General features: G+C 45.2%; 1 protein-coding gene and 1 pseudogene across 1 annotated transcript in view, besides 2 other annotated features; both read left to right on the top strand.

Moving 5' to 3' along the window:
• NDUFB4P4 (NADH:ubiquinone oxidoreductase subunit B4 pseudogene 4) lies at positions 8472-8795 on the top strand (annotated as a pseudogene).
• Positions 17039-17198: a silencer, noted in NCBI's record as "silent region_11264". NCBI's record gives its function as "represses an Ori minimal core promoter by ATAC-STARR-seq in GM12878 lymphoblastoid cells {active_cell/tissue: GM12878}" and the evidence as "EXISTENCE:reporter gene assay evidence [ECO:0000049][PMID:35858748]".
• Positions 17218-19740, top strand: part of ASXL2 (ASXL transcriptional regulator 2) — a 144735-nt gene continuing 142212 nt past the window's right edge. Inside the window, exon 1 of the mRNA NM_018263.6 lies at positions 17218-17539. Coding sequence (NP_060733.4) covers positions 17483-17539 — 57 coding nt within the window. The 5' untranslated portion in view covers positions 17218-17482. The remainder of the gene's footprint in view (positions 17540-19740) is intronic.
• Positions 18109-18158: an enhancer, noted in NCBI's record as "active region_15466". NCBI's record gives its function as "activates an Ori minimal core promoter by ATAC-STARR-seq in GM12878 lymphoblastoid cells {active_cell/tissue: GM12878}" and the evidence as "EXISTENCE:reporter gene assay evidence [ECO:0000049][PMID:35858748]".

The following is a 19740-nucleotide window of genomic DNA, read 5'->3' as shown; positions in this document are numbered from 1 at the left end:
ATATCAAATTCTCAGAGAGGCTTTTCTTGTCATCTAACAATGCCTCCACCCAGTCATTGTCTTTCACATCAGCTTGTTTTACTGTCTTCCTAGAATTTATAAATATCCCATATTGTCTTGTCTATTTATTTCTCTCTCATCTCTACTTGAATAAAGCTCCATGACAGGCTGGGCACAGTGGCTCATGCCTATAATCCTAGCACTTTGGGAGGCCAAGGTGGGGAGGATCACTTGAGCCCAGGAGTTGGAGACCAGCCTGAGCAACAGGGCAATACCCTGTCTCAAAAAAAAAGAAAAAAAAAAAAGCAAGCTCCGTGACAGCAGGGCCTCCCTTACCCGATTTAATTCTGTATTCTCAACACCCAAGTCTGAGTCTGTCACATAATAGGCATACAAGAATAAAGATTTATTGGCCAGGCATGGTGGCTCATGCCTGTAATCCTAGCGCTCTGGGAAGCTGAAGAAGGCGGATCACCTAAGGTCAGGAGGTGGAAACCAGCCTGGTCAACATGGTGAAACCTCCGTCTCTACTAAAAATACAAAAAGTAGCCAGGCATGGTGGCATGTGTTCGTAGTCCCAGCTACTCTGGAAGCTGAAGCACAAGAATTGCCTGACCCTGGGAGGCAGAGGTTGCAGAGGGCGACTCCATCTCAAAAACAAAAAAAAAAGATTTATTAAGTAAATTATTCCCACACTGAAGATCAGAGAATCCAAATAAATTACATAAGTTCACTCAGCTAGTAAATAACAAAGTTGGAATAAACCTAAGTCTATTTAGGACCAGGCTATATCCCCATTTATATAAAAATGGATTTGGCCTCTGAAGAGTATTTGTGAATGTGAAGAGCATGTAAGACAACTTCAGGATGAATAGTCAAATTCCTCAGGCCAAAAACCAAGGAGATGCTGAGGACATCTGGCAGGACAAAGCCCGCAGTAACTAAGGAGCAGCATGGCCTGGCTGTTCCCAGCTTGCTCCTGGCTGGCCTCCAACTCCTCTGCCTTCCCTCCTGTTTCCTGCAGTCTCTGAACCTTTGGCCACGTGCACTACAGTACAGTTTCAGACAGCCTCTGATTTTCCCTTCATGCCCATCAGGCGAACTAGTTCATGTCTGCCAATAGCATTCAATAAGAATGCAGGAGGCCAGGCGTGGTGGCTCACACCTGTAATCCCTGAGCTTTGTTTGGGAGGCTGAGGCAGGCCAACTGCTTGAGCCCAGGAGTTCGAGATCGGCCTGGGCAACATAAGGAGACAAGATTTTTATAAAAAATACAATAATTAGCCCAGCATAGTGATGCACACCTGTAGTCCCAAGCTACCTGGGAGGCTGAGGTGGAAGGGTTGCTTGAACCTGGGAGGTCAAGGCTGCAGTGAGCCAAGATTGCACCACTGCACTACAGCCTGGGCAACAGAGGGAGACCTTGTTTTTTGTTTTTTTGGTTTTTTTTTTTGGGATGGAGTCTCACTCTTGTCATCCAGGCTGAGGTACAGTGGCATGATCTCAGCTCACTCAACCTCCAATTCCCGGGTTCAAGCGATTCTCCAGCCTTAGCCACCCAAGCTGGGATTACAGGTATGCGCCACCATGCTTGGATAATTTTTGTGTTTTTGGTAGAGAAGAGGTTTTGTCTGCTCTGTCACCCAGGCTGGAGAGACAGATCTCAAAAAAAAAAAAAAAAAAAGCAAGTATCACAAGATGCACTGCAAATACAATAATGAACATGGCAGACACTGTCCCTACACCTACTGCTTTGCAGTCTTTTTTTTTTTTTTTTTGAGATGGAGTCTCACTCTGTTGCCCAGACTGGAGTGCAGTGGTACAATCTTGGTTCACTGCAGCCTGCACTTCCCAGGTTCAAGCCATTCTCCTGCCTCAGCCTCCTGAGTAGCTGGGATTATAGGTGTGTGCCACCATGCCTGGCTAATGTTTGTATTTTTAGTAGAGACAGGGTTTCACCATGTTGGTCAGGCTGGTCTTGAACTCCTGACCTCATGATCCGCCCACCTTGGCCTCCCATAGTGCTAGGATTACAGGTGTGCGCCACCGCACCTGGCCACTGCTTTGCAGTCTTATACTCCTTTCTGGTCTTTGGTATTTGGCTTAAGGTTGAAAGATACTAAATTAATCTGTTTAATTGACTTGATTTGATTATTTCAAGGTCATCGTACTAGTTGGGAGAAATTGTCCCTAAAGGAAATGTTTCTTGAGAAGTTCCTCAATTTTCATGTCCTCATATAAATTGTCTGGTATATGCCAGGTAATCAGGAGTTAATTGCTTTCTTCTCTTTTCCTCTAGGCTTCTGCCGGCCAGGTCACCAAGTAAGCTAAATCTTGTTGCATTTAGTACAAAAATGGCCAGGTTTGGTGGCACATGCCTGTAATCTCAGGTATTCAAGAGGCTGAAGCAGGAGCATACTTGGGCCCAGGGGTTTCAGACCAGTCTGGGCAACATAGCAAGACCCCATCTCTAAAAAAGAAAAAAATTAATACAAAATTAAAGAGTAGAGGAATGATAACAGTTTAGTAGAGAAATGCTGACAGCCAGGTATTCAAACATTCTGCAGGAGGGAGGAAGAGAAGGTCTACTTCTGCCTTCTTTACTGTCCATGTATAATATATAAAATACAATAGCAGGCCAGCCGCAGTAGCTCACGTCTGTAATCCCAGCACTTTGGAAGGCCGAGGCAGGCAGATCACCTGAGGTCAAGAGTTTGAGACCAGCCTGGTCATTATGGCAAAACTCCATCTCTACTAAAAATACAAAAATTAGCTGGGCATGGTGGCACTTGCCTGTAATCCAAGCTACTTGGGAGGCTGAGGAACGACAATTGCTTGAACCCAAGAGGCAGAGGTTGCAGTGAGCCGAGACTGCACCACTGCATTCTAGCCTGGGTGACAGAACGAGACTCTGTCTCAAAAAACAAACAAACAACAGCAACCACAACAAAAATACAATAGCGAACATTTATCAATGGCTTACAATATACCAGGCACTATTCCAAACACTTTACATGTACTACCTCATCCAGACATCATCATAAACTTAGCAGAGGAAACCGAGATTTTTTTTTTTTTTTTTTGCCCAGGCTGGAGTGCAATGGCACGATCTTGGCTCACCGCAACCTCCGCCTCCCAGGTTCAAGCGATTCTCCTTCCTCAGCCTCCCTAGTAGCTGGGATTATAGGTATGTGCCACCAGCCCGGCTAATTTTGTAGTTTTAGTAGAGACGGGGTTTCTCCATGTTGGCCAGGCTGGCCTCGAACTCCGGACCTCAGGTGATCCGCCCGCCTCGGCCTTCCAAAGTGCTGGGATTACAAGCGTGAGCTACCGCGCCTGGCTGGAAACTGAGATTTAAAGAAGTTAGGTAAGGCCACGTGTGGTGGCTCATGCCTGTAACCTCAGTACTTTGGGAGGCCAAAATGGGAGGATCACTTGAGCCCAGGAGTTTGAGACCACCCTGGACAACATGATGAGACCTTGTCTCTACAAAAAATTAAAAAATTAGCCAGGTGTGGTAGCATAAACCTGTGGTCACAGCTACTTGGGAGACTGAAGTGGGAGAATTACTTGAGGCCAGGAGGTCGAGGCTGCAGTAAGCTGTGTTCACACCACAGCACTCCAGCCTGGGCAACAGAGTGAGACCCTGTATAAAATAAAATAAAGGAAGAAAGAAGCGGTTTGCCCAAGTTTTCGTAGGTAGAATATACTCACGTGGAGGAATTCCAGTCCAGGCAGTTGGATTCTAGCACCTCTTACTCTGTGTGGTCACTGCTATTGACCCATGGGAGATCAGATACAAGGACTTTGAATGGGGCCCACCTATAGCCTGTCTCCTGGTCATGACATAACTTAAGGCGGAAATGAGATGGTAAACTGGTCAAAGCTAAAGTCTGTGGCCAGGGCAGAGTTAATGAGGGCCTCAGCAGCCCTGTGCTCTGGCATATTCATACTATGCCACTTAATATTGCTTATTTATTTATTATTAAATAGGAGGCTGGTCTCAAACTTCTGAGCTCAAGCAATTCGTCTGCCTAAACCTCCCAAAGTGCTAAGATTACTGGTGTGAGCCATCGCATCCATCTAAATTGCGTTTTTTTCTTTTTTTTTTTCCGAGATGGAGTCTCCCTCTGTTGCCCAGGCTGGAGTGACGCGATCTCGGCTCACTGCAACCTCTGCCTCCCTGGTTCAAGCGATTCTCCTGCCTCAGCTTCCCAAGTAGCTGGGATTACAGGTGCCTGCCACCAGGCTCGGCTAATTTTTGTATTTTTAGTAGAGACAGGGTTTCGCCTTGCTGGCCAGGCTGGTCTCAAACTCCCGACCTCAGGCGATCCGCCCGCCTCGGCCTCCCAAAGTGCTGAGATTACCGGCTTGAGCCACCACGCCCGTCCAATATCGCATTTTTAAAACAATCAATGTCCCCCTGGAATTGATACTGGTTCTACTATCTGTGAGGGTACAGAATTTTCCTTAAAAAAGAAATTGTCTTTGCAATGCCATGAGACAGAATTGGAGAGAGAAGGGGAGAAAAAACAACATATTGTCTTTTGGTCTGAGCTTATGTTCTTCTAACTTTTATTCTAGCTTGTTGCTGTTAAATGTCTTTCCTTTCCTAAAATTATGAAGATCATAGATAGGAGTCAATTTTTTAAAATGTGTTTACTGGCTAGGTGCTGTAGTTCACACCTATAATCCCAGCACTTTGGGAGGTTGAGGCAGGAGGATCACTTGAGGCCACGATTTTGAGACCAGCCTGGGCAACACAGTGAGACCCCATCTCTACAAAAAAATTAGAAAATTAGCTGGGTGTGGTGACATTCACCTGTAGTCCCAGCTACTCGGGAGGCTGAGGTGGGAGGATGACTTGAGCCCAGAAGTTCGAGGCTTCAGTGAGCTCTGATTGTGTCACTGCATTCCAGTCTGGGTGACAGAGTGAGACCCTGTCTCAAAATGAAACAAACCAAACAAAAAATATGCTTACTTATATGTATAAAGAGTTGAACATCTTATGTCAGTCATCTGTTAAAAAAAATTGTGTTTGTGTGTATTTTTTTTTTTTTTTTTAGAGCCAGAGTCTTGCTATGTTGCCTAGGCTAGAGTGCAGTGGCTATTCACAGCCATGATTATAATGCACTACACCCTCAAACTCCCAGCCCCAAGAGATCCTCCCACCTCAGCCTCCTGAGTAGCTGGGCCTCCAGGCACACATCACTACTACTGACTAAAAAAAAAAAAAAAAAAAAAAAAAAGAATTAATTTGTCCATAACATCCAGAAGTTTGTGGACCACTGTGCCAGGTATTCTTCACTGACCTAAAAAGACAACGGTGAGTAATATAGCATCCTAATCTTGAATGCTGGCAATGGATACCAGCCTTGAATCCAAACGGGAGCCAAACTACAGAATAGGTACTGTGCTTCATCTTGATTGTGAATGTGAGAAAATGGACTTCTATGGGAGCTATGTTGCCCTCACAAAATAGGCTCTAAGACTGCCAAGGTCTCAAGTAAGCATTACTAATCACTGATCAAAAAATTGCTCATGGAATGGAAAATAGAATGATATAAGTTACCACGGGCTGAGGAGAGGGGAAGATGGAAAGTTGTTCTTTAATGGATACAGAGTTTCAGTTTTGCAAAATGAAAAACTTCTGGAGATCTATTGTACAACAATGTGAATATACTTCAGGCTATTGAACTGTATACTTAAAAATGTTTAAAAAGGTTTTTGTTGTTGTCGTTGTTGTTGTTGTTTTCAGATGGAGTTTCACTCCTGTTGCCCAGGCTAGAGTACAATGGCACGATCTCAGCTTACCGCAACCTCTGCCTCCCAGTTCAAGTGATTCTCCTGCCTCAGCCTCACTAGTAGCTAGGATTACAGGCATGTGCCACCACGCCTGGCTAATTTTTTGTATTTTTAGTTGAAATGGGGTTTGTCCATGTTGGTCAGGCTGGTCTCGAACTCCTGACCTCAGGTGATCCGCCCGCCTCGGCCTTCCAAAGTGCTGGGATTACAGGCGTGAGCCACTGCGTCCGGCCTTTAAAAAGTTTTTTTTAAAAAAAACCTTTAATTGTGGTAAAAAAGTATATAACAAAATTGACCATCACTGGCGGGTGTGGTGGCTCATGCCTGTAATCCCAGCACTTTGGGAGGCCAAGGTGGGTGGATCACGAGGTCAGGAGTTCAAGATCAACCTGACCAAGATGGTGAAACCCCGCCTCTACTAAAAATACAAAAAAAATTAGCCAGGCGTGGTGGCATGCGCCTGTAGCCCCAGCTACTCGGGAGGCTGAGGCAGAAGAATCACTTGAACTTGGGAGGTGGAGGTTTCAGTGAGCAGAGATTGTGCAACTGCACTCCAGCCTGGGAGACAGAGTGAGACTCCGTCTCAAAAAAAAATAAAGAAAGAGTCTTCTTTTCATAATTCCAAATTCCAGCCCGACTACCCTTAGATACTTACTTTTAACATTATTTTGTGTATCCTTCCAGAAATTTTATTTGTACCCACCAGCATGGTTGCAGAGTACACTAGCATGTGGGAAGTTCATTAGAGGTGCCTTCAGGATCAACACCTGTGGAGGAAGTGAAGGAAGCAGGATTGAGCAGATGGAGAAGGTGGACTCTGCTACACTTTCAGCAAATGTTTCAGCCAACTCCATGGGAGCTCTGAAGCCAGGCTAGCACCTCAGGGTCATCCTGAGTCAAGGTGAGGTGGCCAGGCCTTTATACCCCAACATATTGGATACAAGCTGCCCTCAGAAGTGATCCTGAGCAGAATGGCTCTCTTCAGCTGAGGAAAGTCTCAGAGAAAATTCCCAACAGCTGGGGGAGTAAGTATTTCAGTCCTGAAGGGGAGGATGGGACGTGAATCCGAGTTTTACATATAGTCCACTTGGAACCACTTATTGTGTGGGTTCTGGGAGCAGCTCTTCCTGGATTCTGGTGGGCCTCTTCCCCTGAGAGAAGTTTATAAGGAGAGGAGAGTGGGGGAAAGACAGCCTCCACCACTGCAGTTGATCGCAAGGTTGCAACTCTACTCATTGTCTCCCTCCTCTACTATCCAAATGCAGATTCCTCTTCCCGTTAGTGCCTCTGCTGGTCTAGGCGGCCTACTTGGTGATACAGCCCAGACTTTCATGCCCAAAGGGTCTAAGCACCTGCTAACAATCATGGAGTGCAGTGGCGCGATCTCGGCTCACTGCAACCTCTGCCTCCTGGGCTCAAGCAATTCTCTTGCCTCAGCCTCCCAACTAGCTGGCGCTCGCCACTACGCCCAGCTAATTTTTGTATTTTAAGTAGAGATGGGGTTTCACTAGGTTGGCCAGGCTGGTCTCGAACTCCTGACCTCAAGCAATCCACCCACCTCAGCCTCCCAAAGTGCTGGGATTACAGGTGTGAGCCACCGTGCCTGGTCAACAATCCTTGTTAAAGCTATGGCTGATGTACCATTTACTAACAAAATTGGGTAAGATAGTACTAAGGGACAGCTAAGAGGATCCCTTCAGGGGATCCCTTCAGGACAGCTAACAGGGTCCTTTCAGCTTCCATGGTGTAACATAATCTGAACTTCCTCTTTTGTTGTTTTTTTGTTTTGTTCTGTATTGAGACAGGGTCTTGCTCTGTTGCCCAGGCGGGAGGGCAGTGGCACAATCTCAGCTCACTGCAACCTCTGCCTCCTGTGCTGAAGTGATCCTCCCACCTCAGCCTCCTGAGTAGCTAGGACTACAGGCATGTATCACCACGCTTGGCTAGTTTTTGTATTTTTGGTAGAGATGGGGTTTCACTATGTTGGCCATGAGGTCTTGAACTCCTGACTTCAAGTGATCTGCCCACCTTGGCCTTCCAAAGTTCTGGGATTACATGGATGAGTCACCATGCATGGCCCCTACTTCCTCCTGATGATCAGGATCAATTACCCCGACAACGTGGTGACTTCTCTTTATGTTGTCTGGTCCTTTGACACAGGAGTCTGAAGTGCTCAGGCAGCAACCGTAAAGTTCAGTGGGACTCTTGCTGTGCCTCTTGGTGGAAACAGTCCCCTTGGAAATCAGAATTTCTAAACTCACAGAGCCCAGAGCTGAGGGGATGGGATGCATAAAGCTGAGCCATTTCTTTTTCCACCCCTTTGTTTCCAGACCCACGTATTCTACCTATTAGGGACATAACACCATAGGTTGGTCATTAATTTAGAGCGGCTAAATGTGTTTTTGAGGGTGGTGTCTGTCCTCACAGGGTACATCTCTGCCCTGGTTTCTCAGTGCGCCATGAGTGGGCCATGGCATTGCTCAATCAGGCCAAAAGTTTCTGCGTAGTTAGGATGACAGTAGACTACTGTAAATTCAATTAGTATCTTCAATAGCTATATGACTTGAAGAATTATATACTTTTTGAAAAATAAAGCCTCTGGGACCAGAAGATCCCAAAGTCATGTGTCCACTGCCATATCTTCTTTGTTATAAAATGGGCTCTTTCCCGGCTGAAATGAGAGTACCTGCTTTCAGTACAACGATCCCAGCCGCCGAGGGGTCATCGAAGATCCTGCCTTGATTCGTTGGACCTATCCAAGATCAGCAAATGTCTATCCAAATTTCAGACCCACTCCTAAAAACTCACTCTTGGGAACTCTGTGTGGATTTAGGCCCCTCTTCTTCTGGTATTACATTTTCAAAACTGACAGAGATAGGAAAGAAAAACTTATCCGGGAAGGAAAATTGGATGGAACATTTAACCTTTCATATTAAGTCTGGCAATGATGACTATATGTATTCCTGCCTTAATAGTCTATTAATCATTAATAAATAAATAAATAAATAAATAAATAAAATGGGCTCTTTATGGCCAGGAGCGGTGGCTCACACCTGTAATCCCAGCACTTTGGGAGGCGGATGCAGGCAGATCACCTGAGGTCAGGAGTTTGAGACCAGCCTGGCCAACATAGTGAAACCCTGTCTCTACTAAAAATACAAAAGATTAGCTGAGGATGGTGGCATGCACCTGTAATCCCAGCTATTAGGGAGGCTGAGGCAGGAGAATCGCTTGAACCTTGGAGGCAGAGGTTGCAGTGAGCCGAGATCGTGCCATTGCACTCCAGCCTGGGCAACAAGAGCAAAACTCCGTCTCAAAAAAAAAAAAAAGGGCTCTTTGTTTTGATGCACTGTTATATGAGATCCCTTATCAATGGAGCAAATATTTTGTAAGCTCTTGAAAGTGGTGCTGGCTGAGCACACTTTGAGGCTCTATTAGTAGGAAAGGCAAACTCATACCTGAAATAGATGCATATTCCAGTTAAAATGAATTGCTGCCCCTTGTAAGGTGAAGGGGTCCACTGTAGGCAACTTACCTCCAAGTGGCTGATTGGTGTACTTGAGGGATGGTGTCAAATCAGGGGGTTGGTTTTCATCTTTCTTGCTGGCAGATTGGACATTCAGTAGCAGTAGTAGGTAAAAGTTCAGTGGTGAGTGGGAACCCACGGTGTTGGGTCCATTTGTAGCCTCCATTCCTGCCACCATGTCTACTATGTTCATAGATGAATTATGTACCACCGCAGTGGTCAATGACAGAGTCTGCCTGATGTTAACTGACTGAGTCATTCTGCCTATTTGTTTGCTTAGTGCTTCATGCTTCTTCTATGCTTTTTTTTTTTTTTGAGACAGGGTCTTACTCTGTCAGCCAGGCTGGAATGCAGTGGTGTGATCATGGCTCACTGCAGCCTCACCCTCCTGGGCTCAACTGATCCTCCTGCCTCAGTTTCCTGAGTAGTGGGGACTACAGGCGCATGCCACCATGCCCAGCTAATTTTTAAAATATTATTTTTGGCTGGGCACAGTGGCTCACACCTGTAATCCCAGCACTTTGGGAGGCTGAGGCGGGCGGATCATGAGGTCAAGAGTTTGAGACCAGCCTGATCAATACAGTGAAACCCCGTCTCTACTAAAAATACAAAAATTAGCCAGGCATGGTGGCATGCACCTATAATCCTAGCTACTCAGGAGGTTGAGGCAGGAGAATCGCTTGAACCCAGGGGGCAGAAGTTGCAGTGAGCCAAAATCACGCCATTGCACTCCAGCTTGGGCGACAGAGCGAGACTCCGTCTCAAAGAAAAAAAAAAAGAAAAAAACCACATTATTTTCTGTAGACACAGGGTCTTGCTATGTTGCCCAAGCTGGTCTTAAACTACTGGCATCAAGTGATCCTCCCACCTCAGCCTTTCAAAGAGCCACCATACTCAGCCAATGTTATTCTACGCTTTCTGGTGAGTATTAATATGAGCATTAAACATGAGATCTTCATATTTTGTGTTCATAGGTTCATCCACATATCTCTATCCCAACCTCATTACCTCTGATCTTATAGTCTTTTTTGTTCCATGACCCCGACCACTTGGCTGAGCTCTTCTCCACCTACCATGAATCCGTTTATATTCTGACCTTGGGCCATTTCTCTTTCCACACAAAGTAGATAATCCAGTACACTGCCTGAACTTCTGCACATTGGAAGGCTGTCCCTTCACTCCTGTTGTTCAAAGCTATTCTTGAATGGGACTGTAAGGCTGGTGAAGTCCATTTTCATCTTGCACCTTGTATTAATCTGTTCTTACAGTGCTATAAAGAAATTCCTGAAACTGGGTCATTTATAAAGAAAATTGGTTTAATTGTCTCGTGGTTCCACAGGCTGTACAGGAAGTATGGCTGGGGAGGCCTCAGGAAACTTACAATCAAGGTGGAAGGTGAAAGGGAAGCAGGCACCTCTTACATGGTTGGAGCAGGAGGAAAAGAGAGTGAAGGGGAAGGTGCTATACACTTTTTAAAAGAAATTTAATTTTTTTTATTACACTTTAAGTTCTGGGATACATGTGCAGAATGTGCAGGTTTGTTAGATAGGTATACACATGCCATGGTGGTTTGCTGCACCCATCAACCTGTCATCTACATTAGGTATTTCTCTTAATGGTATCCCTCCCTTAGCCCCCCACCCCCTGGTACTACCTTTTTTTTTTTTTTTTTTTTTTTTAAGAGACGGAGTCTCACTCTGTCATCCAGGCTGGAGTGCAATGACGAGATCTCGGCTCATTGCACCTCCGCCTCCCAGGTTCAAGCAATTCTCCTGCCTCAGCCTCCCGAGTAGCTGGGATTACAGGTGCCTGCCACCACGCACTGCTAATTTTTGTATTTTTAGTAGAGATGGGATTTCACCATGTTGGCCAGGCTGGTCCCAGATCACTCCTGACCTCAAGTGATCCGCCTGCCTCAGCCACCCAAAGTGCTGGGATTACAGGTGTGAGCCACTGTGCCCGGCCAACTACACACTTTTAAACAACCAGATCTCATGAGAACTCACTCACTATCATGAGAACAGCAAGGGGGAAATCCACCTCCATGATCCAATCACGTCCCACAAGGTCCCTCCTCCAACAGTGGGAATTACAATTCAACATGAGATTTTGGTGGGGACACAAATCCAAACCATATCACACCTACATACCAAGATGACCTATCCATGAATCAAGCTTGGCTTTTCTTCTCCTCTGTTAGTTGGTCATAGGAAAATCTCCCATGCAGCCATAACGTGAGCTGAAGGAGAGGTGTCGAGGTGACAGTGGAGCATGAAATGGGAACTGGATCATCTGTTGATGCAGCTTTCTAGTGCTCTCTGGCCTGCTTGTGCACAGTTCCAGATGTACCACTTCCATCTTACAATGGGTTGCTAGTGAGCCCATCTGACCTTATGATTTGGTGGAGATGACTGACAGAAATAAGCTCATGATACAGTTTTCTAGTTGCATGGTCAAGTGCTCCATCTATACTAGGGCTTAATATTATGCCAGGAGCTATTTTCTCCAAAAGTGTATTATTTTTCACCATATGTGGCAACTGAAATTACTAATGAATTCAATTCGAGGTAGTCTACTGTCATCTTTCAGCATCCACTGGGCTTTTGTAGGGGCAAGATGAATGAATTAAACAGAAACATGGTGAGGACTAGACCCCTGAATACTTTAGGTCTTTAGGGATGCCATTTTCCCTGTGTTGGGATCTTGTTTTGATTTACTCTTTTGGCTGCTGCAGGAGAAATAGTTACCAGGTGGACCCAATTGTGGATTCACTATGAGTCAGAGCTGGACCAGGACTCCATATGACCAACATATGCCCCCACTCTAATAAAGCCATGATGACATACTGGGTTTTCAAGAAGCAGACTCTAAAATGAAGGTCAGTGTACAGGAAACTTACTGGAGAGTTCTCTCAGGAGCAACACTTGTGGGGGAAGGAAAGGAAGTAAATTTGGGCAGAAGGGGAATTTGAGGTCTGATGCAGTATCAACAAAGGCCTCATTCTTCTCCACTAGAGCTCTGAACTGGGATGGCTCACTGTTATTGTCCTACAGCGGGGCAGGGGGGCCAGGCCTTTATAGTCTCCATATCCATCAGTCATTGGACACAGGCTGTCACAGGAATGCAGCATGACCTTGGATAAGGTAGTTTTCTTCAACAGTACCCCTAGAAGCTGGGGAAATAAGTCCTTCAGTCTTGAAAGGGCAGCTAGGTGGCACATCACAGCATCAACTACAGATACACATACACACACGTACACACACACACCCCACTCCCCATATATATTATTCCAGGTACTTAGTTGCTAAAGAAAAAAAGACAGATAAAAGAAACCAATTCTGGCTAATTTAAACAGGCAAAAAAAAATTTTTTTTTTAAATCCTAGATGGCTTAGGCTGGGTGCAGTGGCAGCTCACGCTTGTAATCCCAGCACTTTGGGAGGCCGAGGCAGGTGGATCACCTGAGGTCAGGAGTTCGAGACCTGCCTGGCCAACATGGTGAAACTCCATCTTTACTAAAAATACAAAACAACTAGCCAGGCGTGGTGGTGGATGCCTGTAATCCCAGCTACTCAGGAGGCTGAGGCAGGAGAATCACTTGGACCCGGGAGGCAGAGGGAGCGAAACTCTACCTCAAAACAAACAAGAAAAACAAGATCGCTTACAGAATCTGTAGGATATCTAGTGATCCTAGCCTGGAAATTACCACTAACGGTAATAGTGGCCAAAATACCACTGCAGAGCTGGCCTTTTGAAGACTCTGCAACTCGTATCACTGACATCACTGATCCTGAATATCACTAGTGTCCGATTCAATGTCTAGGGCAGAAATAAATGATTGGTGGAGCCTAGGGCATGTTCCTATGCCCTACCCAAAACGGAGGGTAGGTATTTTCAATTTCTATAGTGGGTGGGAAATTTCCAAATATGGGAAGGGGGCTTGGATACTTGTAGCCAAAAAAAGAAAAAAAAAAAGGCTATCTTACTCCCCCATTTTTTTCATCAGAAGGAACCCTATTATACATGTGATTCTATACATTGCCTTTTTCACTTTAATTAATATTCCTTAGATCTCTTTCCACAACTGAGTAGCAATCCTTGTATACAAGGATTATTTATAATAGCACTGAAATGTTAACTATAGGAGACTAGATAAAATTATTGTACATAATCCAAACAATGGAATGCTATGTAACTATTTAAAATTATGCTATATGTTAGAGTTTGAGGGTGTCAACTTGCCCAAGTTTCAGAAAAAATGGAAAGATATCTACAGGAGACAAGCAGATGGAGATAAAAATATCACATTCATAATAAAACTGTTGAAGATAAAACAGCTTCTGTGTGAGGGCCAAATGGGCTTGCTAGCGCTTCCTGTCCCCAACTTTGCCAAGTCTAGACCTGATGATATCTTATCTGAGTGAAAAGTTTGGTTCTACAGAGGAGACATACTTAACGAGGGGCCATTCATGCTCAACCAAGTTGTGAGGCTGAGGCTAGGTTTTCCTTAGCTTCTTCCCTTCTCTCTCTTTTTTTTTTTTTTTTGAATCAGGGTTTCACTCTATTGCCCAGGCTAGAGTGGGGTGGCGTGATCTCGGCTCACCACAACCTCCACCTCCCAGGTTCCAGTGATTCTCCCACCTCAGCCTCCTAAGTATCTGGGACTACTGCCTTGAGCCACCACGCCCGGCTAATTTTTGTATTTTTTGGTAGAGACCGTGTTTCACCATGTTGGCCAGGCTGGTCTCGAACTCCTGACTTCAAGTGATCTGCCCACCTTGGCCTCCCAAAGTGCTGAGATTACAGGCATGAGACACTGCGCCTGGCCAGCTTCTTCCCTTCTCTATGATGCTTCCCTCACACCGTTACAGGTTTCTTCTGAGAGCACTCCAATATATAACTTGCAGAAGGAGTCAAGGCTCAGTCTCTGCTTCCACAGACAAAACGAATATCTGTAGAATTTTTACAATGAGCAGTTTGGTAAAGATGAAAAAAAAGTTAATTTTATTGTGAAAATAAAAATCTCATGTGGATTCCAAGATAAAGCATTTGAAGGGGTTGGGGCTGAATATCTGTAGTCTAAAAATCCTTGATTTCACTTTCTGCAGTACACTAAGCCAAAGTTTGTCAAAGCAGGTCATTCACTTTACCACAAAAGAGTCAGACCTTGATTTGTAGATGTAAAGCATTGTTACACTTAGTAGGGCAGAGGAGTGGGTGGAAGTTGTGAAAGTAGAGATGGTGAGTGTAGGTTACACATTCAAGATATTTATGGGCAAGAAAGAGAGGAAAAATAATTTGATATGGTAGGGTGGTAGGGTAAAGAGACTTCCTTAAGCTGGAAGTGTCTTGAATATGCTTGTAGAAGGAGGGGGAGGGGTATCAGAACTAGAAAATAATGAAAAAAGTGGAGTAACATTCCAAGGCAGATGAGAAGGGATAGTGTCCTGTATACGGTATATTAGAGGAGGGATTAGGCTATGCTAAGGAGGAGGAGGCAGTTAGAATGCGCGGACTTATGGGTAAATTTAGGGGTTGAAGACAAGGTGAGACTGCAACTGGGGGGCCAATAATTTTTACATGATATATGAAGCAATGTCATTAGTTAAATGAAGAGGCGAAAGTAGAGGTGGGGTCTTCAGGGGAGTGGCAAATGCTGATGGAAGTAACCAGAGATACATCAAAGGATGACTAAGTTGATTATAGAAACTGTATCTGTAAAGCTAAGAAACTGTGACTCAATCAAGAGGATATCTTAGGGAGGATATCTTAGTAGGGTAGTGGGTGGAGTTTTAAGAAGATAGATTTGGCATTCCCTGTAGGATGGGCTTGAGTAGGGTGAGAAAAGAAACAGACTATCTAAGGAAATCCAGAAGGAGGGTGGGGATGATGAGAGAGATGCAAATACACATAACAAATTCAATCAATAGACATGGGGACAAAATACTTTTTGGGGAATTATACTTTTATAATAATAATAAACTATCTGTATCTGTGGAAGATTAAGAAGTAGGAACCACAACATCACAATCCCTACCCTTGAAATTCAAACCTGGGGATAGAGCTCCAGAAATGCAAAGTAAGGACCCTAGTAAGGTCTGAAAACCAGTTGGGGCTCCAGGACCAAACAACAGGACTGGATGATAAGCTGTACTCAGCTCAACAGCCAGGGATGGAGAAGACCTTTTTTTCTCTTCTCTCTTTCTCTTTCTTTCTCTCTGTCTCTCTTTCTTTTTTGAGACAGAGTCTTGCTCTGTTGCCCAGGCTGGAGTGTAATGGCGCGATCTCTGGGCTCACTGCAACCTCTGCCTCCCAGGTTCAAGCGATTCTCCTGCCTCAGCCTCCCAAGTAGCTGGGATTACAGGCGCATGCCACCAGGCCCAGCTAATTTTTGTATTTTTAGTAGAGATGGGGTTTCTCCATGTTGGCCAGGCTTGTCTTGAACTCTTGGCCTCAAGTGATCTGACCACCTCAGCCTCCCAAAATGCTGGGATTACAGGCGTGAGCCACCGCACCTGGCGAGAAGGCCTTCTTAGACTACAGACATAAGCTTTGGAGGGAGGTGGTACATACTACCTGTGTAATGCATAAGGCTATGAATTACCAAAGACATTTGGGAAAATATATCCATATCAATTGCTGAAATAGGCTGTTTGATCCATGACTGAACGGAAATATAAGGAAGTATCTAGATACTTCTAGATGGCCTCTCAAACTCCCTTTAATATCTTTTTCTCTTTTTTTTTTGCACAACAGATCCTTTTTGAAAAATGGAGGAAAAGTTATGAATCCTCTTAAAAAATTCACATATAACACACAAAATATAGTTCATAATTTTAGGGAGTCCATGAATTTCTGAAACGCATCCATAAACTTTAAGTATTGCTCTCACCTGTCTTTCCTCCCAAGAGGCAATCCAATCCTCAGTCCTATTTCACACTATAGTAAGTTTACTGGATTGTTTGGAAGCAGCTTCTGGAAGCAGGTGGATTTGGGAGATCAGCAGTTGTTACTACATTCTTCTTACTTTGCAAGGTATCAAGGTGTAGATGATGTAAGAGAAGATGCCACATTCTGGATCTTTCAGAAAGCTGTTACGGATACTACAAATAATGGTCTCTGACCACAGAAATAGGTGAATCATTCAGCAAATATTTACTGGGCGCCTGATATGTACAGGCACTATGCTAGGGACTGAGCTCACCGAAATAAAGAAGACACCATTTCTGTCATTGATGAGTAGCTTCACATGTAAAAGCATGGATGCAGTTACTGGTGGCCTTAAAAACAAAGTCACCTAAGTTTGAGGCATTCTGGGGAGATGGAAAGGGCTCTGAGCTGGCAATTTGATTTTTGGTTTCTCTACATCCCAGACTTATGAGCTTGGCAAGTCACTCAATCTCAGTTGCTTCGCCTATCGAATGGGGTTAATAGGCAGACGAGAATTGTTGCCTATCTTCAAAAAGATAACCTCTGTAAAAATGCAAATAAATGAGAAAACACAAACGCAGGGCTGATCTAAAGTGATAGTTGGCAGAGCCACCCACTGAGGGAAGAGTTCAGCTCCCCAGGTCTACACAGCCTGTGCAGCGCCTCGCAAGAGGCGGGATCCGCTCAGTAAGCTTTCCCGGATGGCACAGGTTCCGCTTCCGCAGGCAGATATTCGCTGTAGGTGTGAGCGCCAGGCGTCAGACTACAGCTACTGCCGGGGCCTCCTTGGCGCGCATGCTCCTGCGGAGAGGCGGAGACCGGAAGGGCGGGGGCGTGGCGAGGTACCGCAGACCGCCGGCTCGATAGCTCAGCGGCCGGGCTTGGGAGGCGGGGGCGCGCCCGCGCTCGTTCGCGCGGCCGGCTGCGTACAGTAGTGACGGCCGCGCGGGAGCGGTCACATGACCGTAGCGGCAGCCTGTACAGTAAGAACCCAATATGGCAGCGGCGGTAGCAGTGGCAACGGCAGCAAGAGGACCGGCCGCCCCATAGACCCCCCCGCGCACCACCCCCGCCGCTTCCTCTGCTTGGGTGCCCCCCCGGTCTGACTTCCCTTTTCTCCCACCTTTCCCGGCACCGCGGGAAAAGCAGCGCAGGGCAGAGCAGGCAGGGAGGGCGGCCGGAGCCCGGACACGGGAGCCTCCCAGTCAGTTCAAGACCCGACATGAGGGAAAAGGGACGTAGGAAGAAGGGCAGGACCTGGGCGGAGGCCGCCAAGACGGTAAGGGGGAGGGAGCGAAGGGGAAGGCCGGGAGGATTTTGTTCCCTTGTCGCCCGCCAGTCGCAGGGAAAGGGAGGTCACTGGCCCAGGGACCCGGCTGAAGGGGCACAAAACCGCGCGGAGAGGGCGGCGGTTAGTGTCGGGGTTGCGATCCCTGTGGGAATGGAGGCGCCCGGCGGAACGTGATAGCCGCGGGGCCGTGGCGTCCCTCGGCGTCTGCGGCGAGTCCTCTCAGTGTTTTGAGGCTGTCTTTTGGGGTCGAGCCGATATCACCTCCGCTCTGTGGTAGCCCTCGCCCCGGCACGGGGAAGTCTGTGGTGCTTGCACGGTAACCGGTTCTTCTCCCTTGTGCGGCTGGAGAGCCCCCATTGGATGCAGATAGGAGAAGGCTTGTGCGTGCATCCAGCCCCGGAAAGGAGAGGGGAGCGCTGGAGCTGGATAGAATTTACCCGTTACAGCGGACGTGCCTGTGACCCCGGGCCCCCTGTTTGTCTGGCTCCCGGAGCAGACGAGAGATCACGAGGCTTTTGTTTTTGTTTGGTGTTGGAGCCGAAAGTGCAGGAGGTGTTTAGAAACGAAGTAACAGGTGGGACTTGTAGAATTTTTTTTTTTCCTGTTTCCGTAGAGACCTACTCTGAACAAGGCAGCAATGCATGGTGGGACGTGTAGTTTACCCGGCCTTCACGTTACCCTAGCCAAAGGGATGGTGCCCTAATGAAGTTGTAATTAGTGGGCAAAACAATTTTCCCCCTAATTGTGTTATGACGAAATTTAGAGGTAGATTTTAAAAAGTGGAATATTGAGGATTAGTGAGAACTTTTACCATATTTTAAGAAGAAAAAATTAAAAGCATGTTGTATGCAGAAATGAAATGGCAGGAGATAGTGAAGTTCATACATCGTTGAGGGTGCAGCAGAAAAGTAATAGGGCATTAAACGGCAGCATTTTAATAGTGGAAAGTGAGAGGTGTTCACCCCTTTAATGGTGATTAATGCCGGTAATACTTCGACAACGTAGCCCTTCTTAGTGAACCCTTATTAGATGCCATATGGTTTATTTTTTAATGAGTTTTTTAAATATAAAAGTAATGTTCACTGTGGGGAAATTTGGAAAATTATAAAAAAGTATAAAGAAGAACATTTAAAAAAAATCACATTTATTTCACCGCTCGGCTGTATCTGCTAACATTTGGTATATTACCGTCTAGTCTCTTTATTTCCCCAAATCTAGGTCATACTGTTTATTCAGTCTTGTGCATTTGTTTCTAAACTTTGTGCATTTGTTTTGTAAACTTTATGCATTAGGAGGTTGATGAGTTTTCAATTTGTATCTCTCTTAGTTGGAAATGTAAAAAAGTTAAGAAATAATAGCACATTTTACTTACTGGGTGTTTTCACTTACAATATGTCTTTGTATATCTTCCTGTGCTAGTAGTTTCCCTCTAAAAGATAAGACTCCTATACTTTTTTTTGAAGGTGTAGAGGTTGCATCCCCACAGAGGGCTGTTTTACTCTCAGTATACCTCAAGACCTCTTTCTGTTAATAAAAGAAGCATGATAAATTTTAATTATAGGTAAGCAGACCTGGACCCTAATTTATGCTAATTAATTTTAAGTTCCTAGGGTCTTTAAAATTGTTTTTTTAATTAAAAATATTTTGTAGAGACAGGGTCTTTCTATGTTGCCCAGGCTAGGCTAGTCTTGAACTCCTGGGCTGAAGCAGTCCTCCTGCCGTTGGCCTCTCAAAGCACTAATATTACACAAGTTTCTAGAATCTTAGGAGTGTTTTTTGAATTATGATCCCTTTGATAAAATAGTCATTGGGAGATTGCGACAAATAGGAAAAATTAGTCTGCATCTACTTAGCTTTTCCTATGTTAGTATATTTGCTCATTTCATGCCCTAGCTAGCTATGTGAAAAATAGTATTTAAAAGATGGAAAGACTACTTTGATCAGTAGAGTTCCTGAGGGTACCAGTATATTAGTAGCTTGGTATTTTTCTTTGATTCTGGCAAATACATGAAGCCCCAGTCTCAGTGAAAATGTGTTTTAGAAAGAGAATGATGACACTAAAGTTTTTCTAGTAGCCAAAATCTAGAAAACACTCTTAATTTTGGGGGGTTATTTTATTACCTATAAGTGAGGGGATTAAACTAAATCTCGGTGTTCAAAATATTTCTGTTTTTGGGATAAATAGATGA

Source organism: Homo sapiens, chromosome 2, assembly GCF_000001405.40.
Source record: "Homo sapiens chromosome 2, GRCh38.p14 Primary Assembly".
Taxonomy (NCBI): domain Eukaryota; kingdom Metazoa; phylum Chordata; class Mammalia; order Primates; family Hominidae; genus Homo; species Homo sapiens.
The sequence above is the reverse complement of the archived record's forward strand: the minus strand, read 5'-3'. Positions and strand labels throughout refer to the sequence as shown.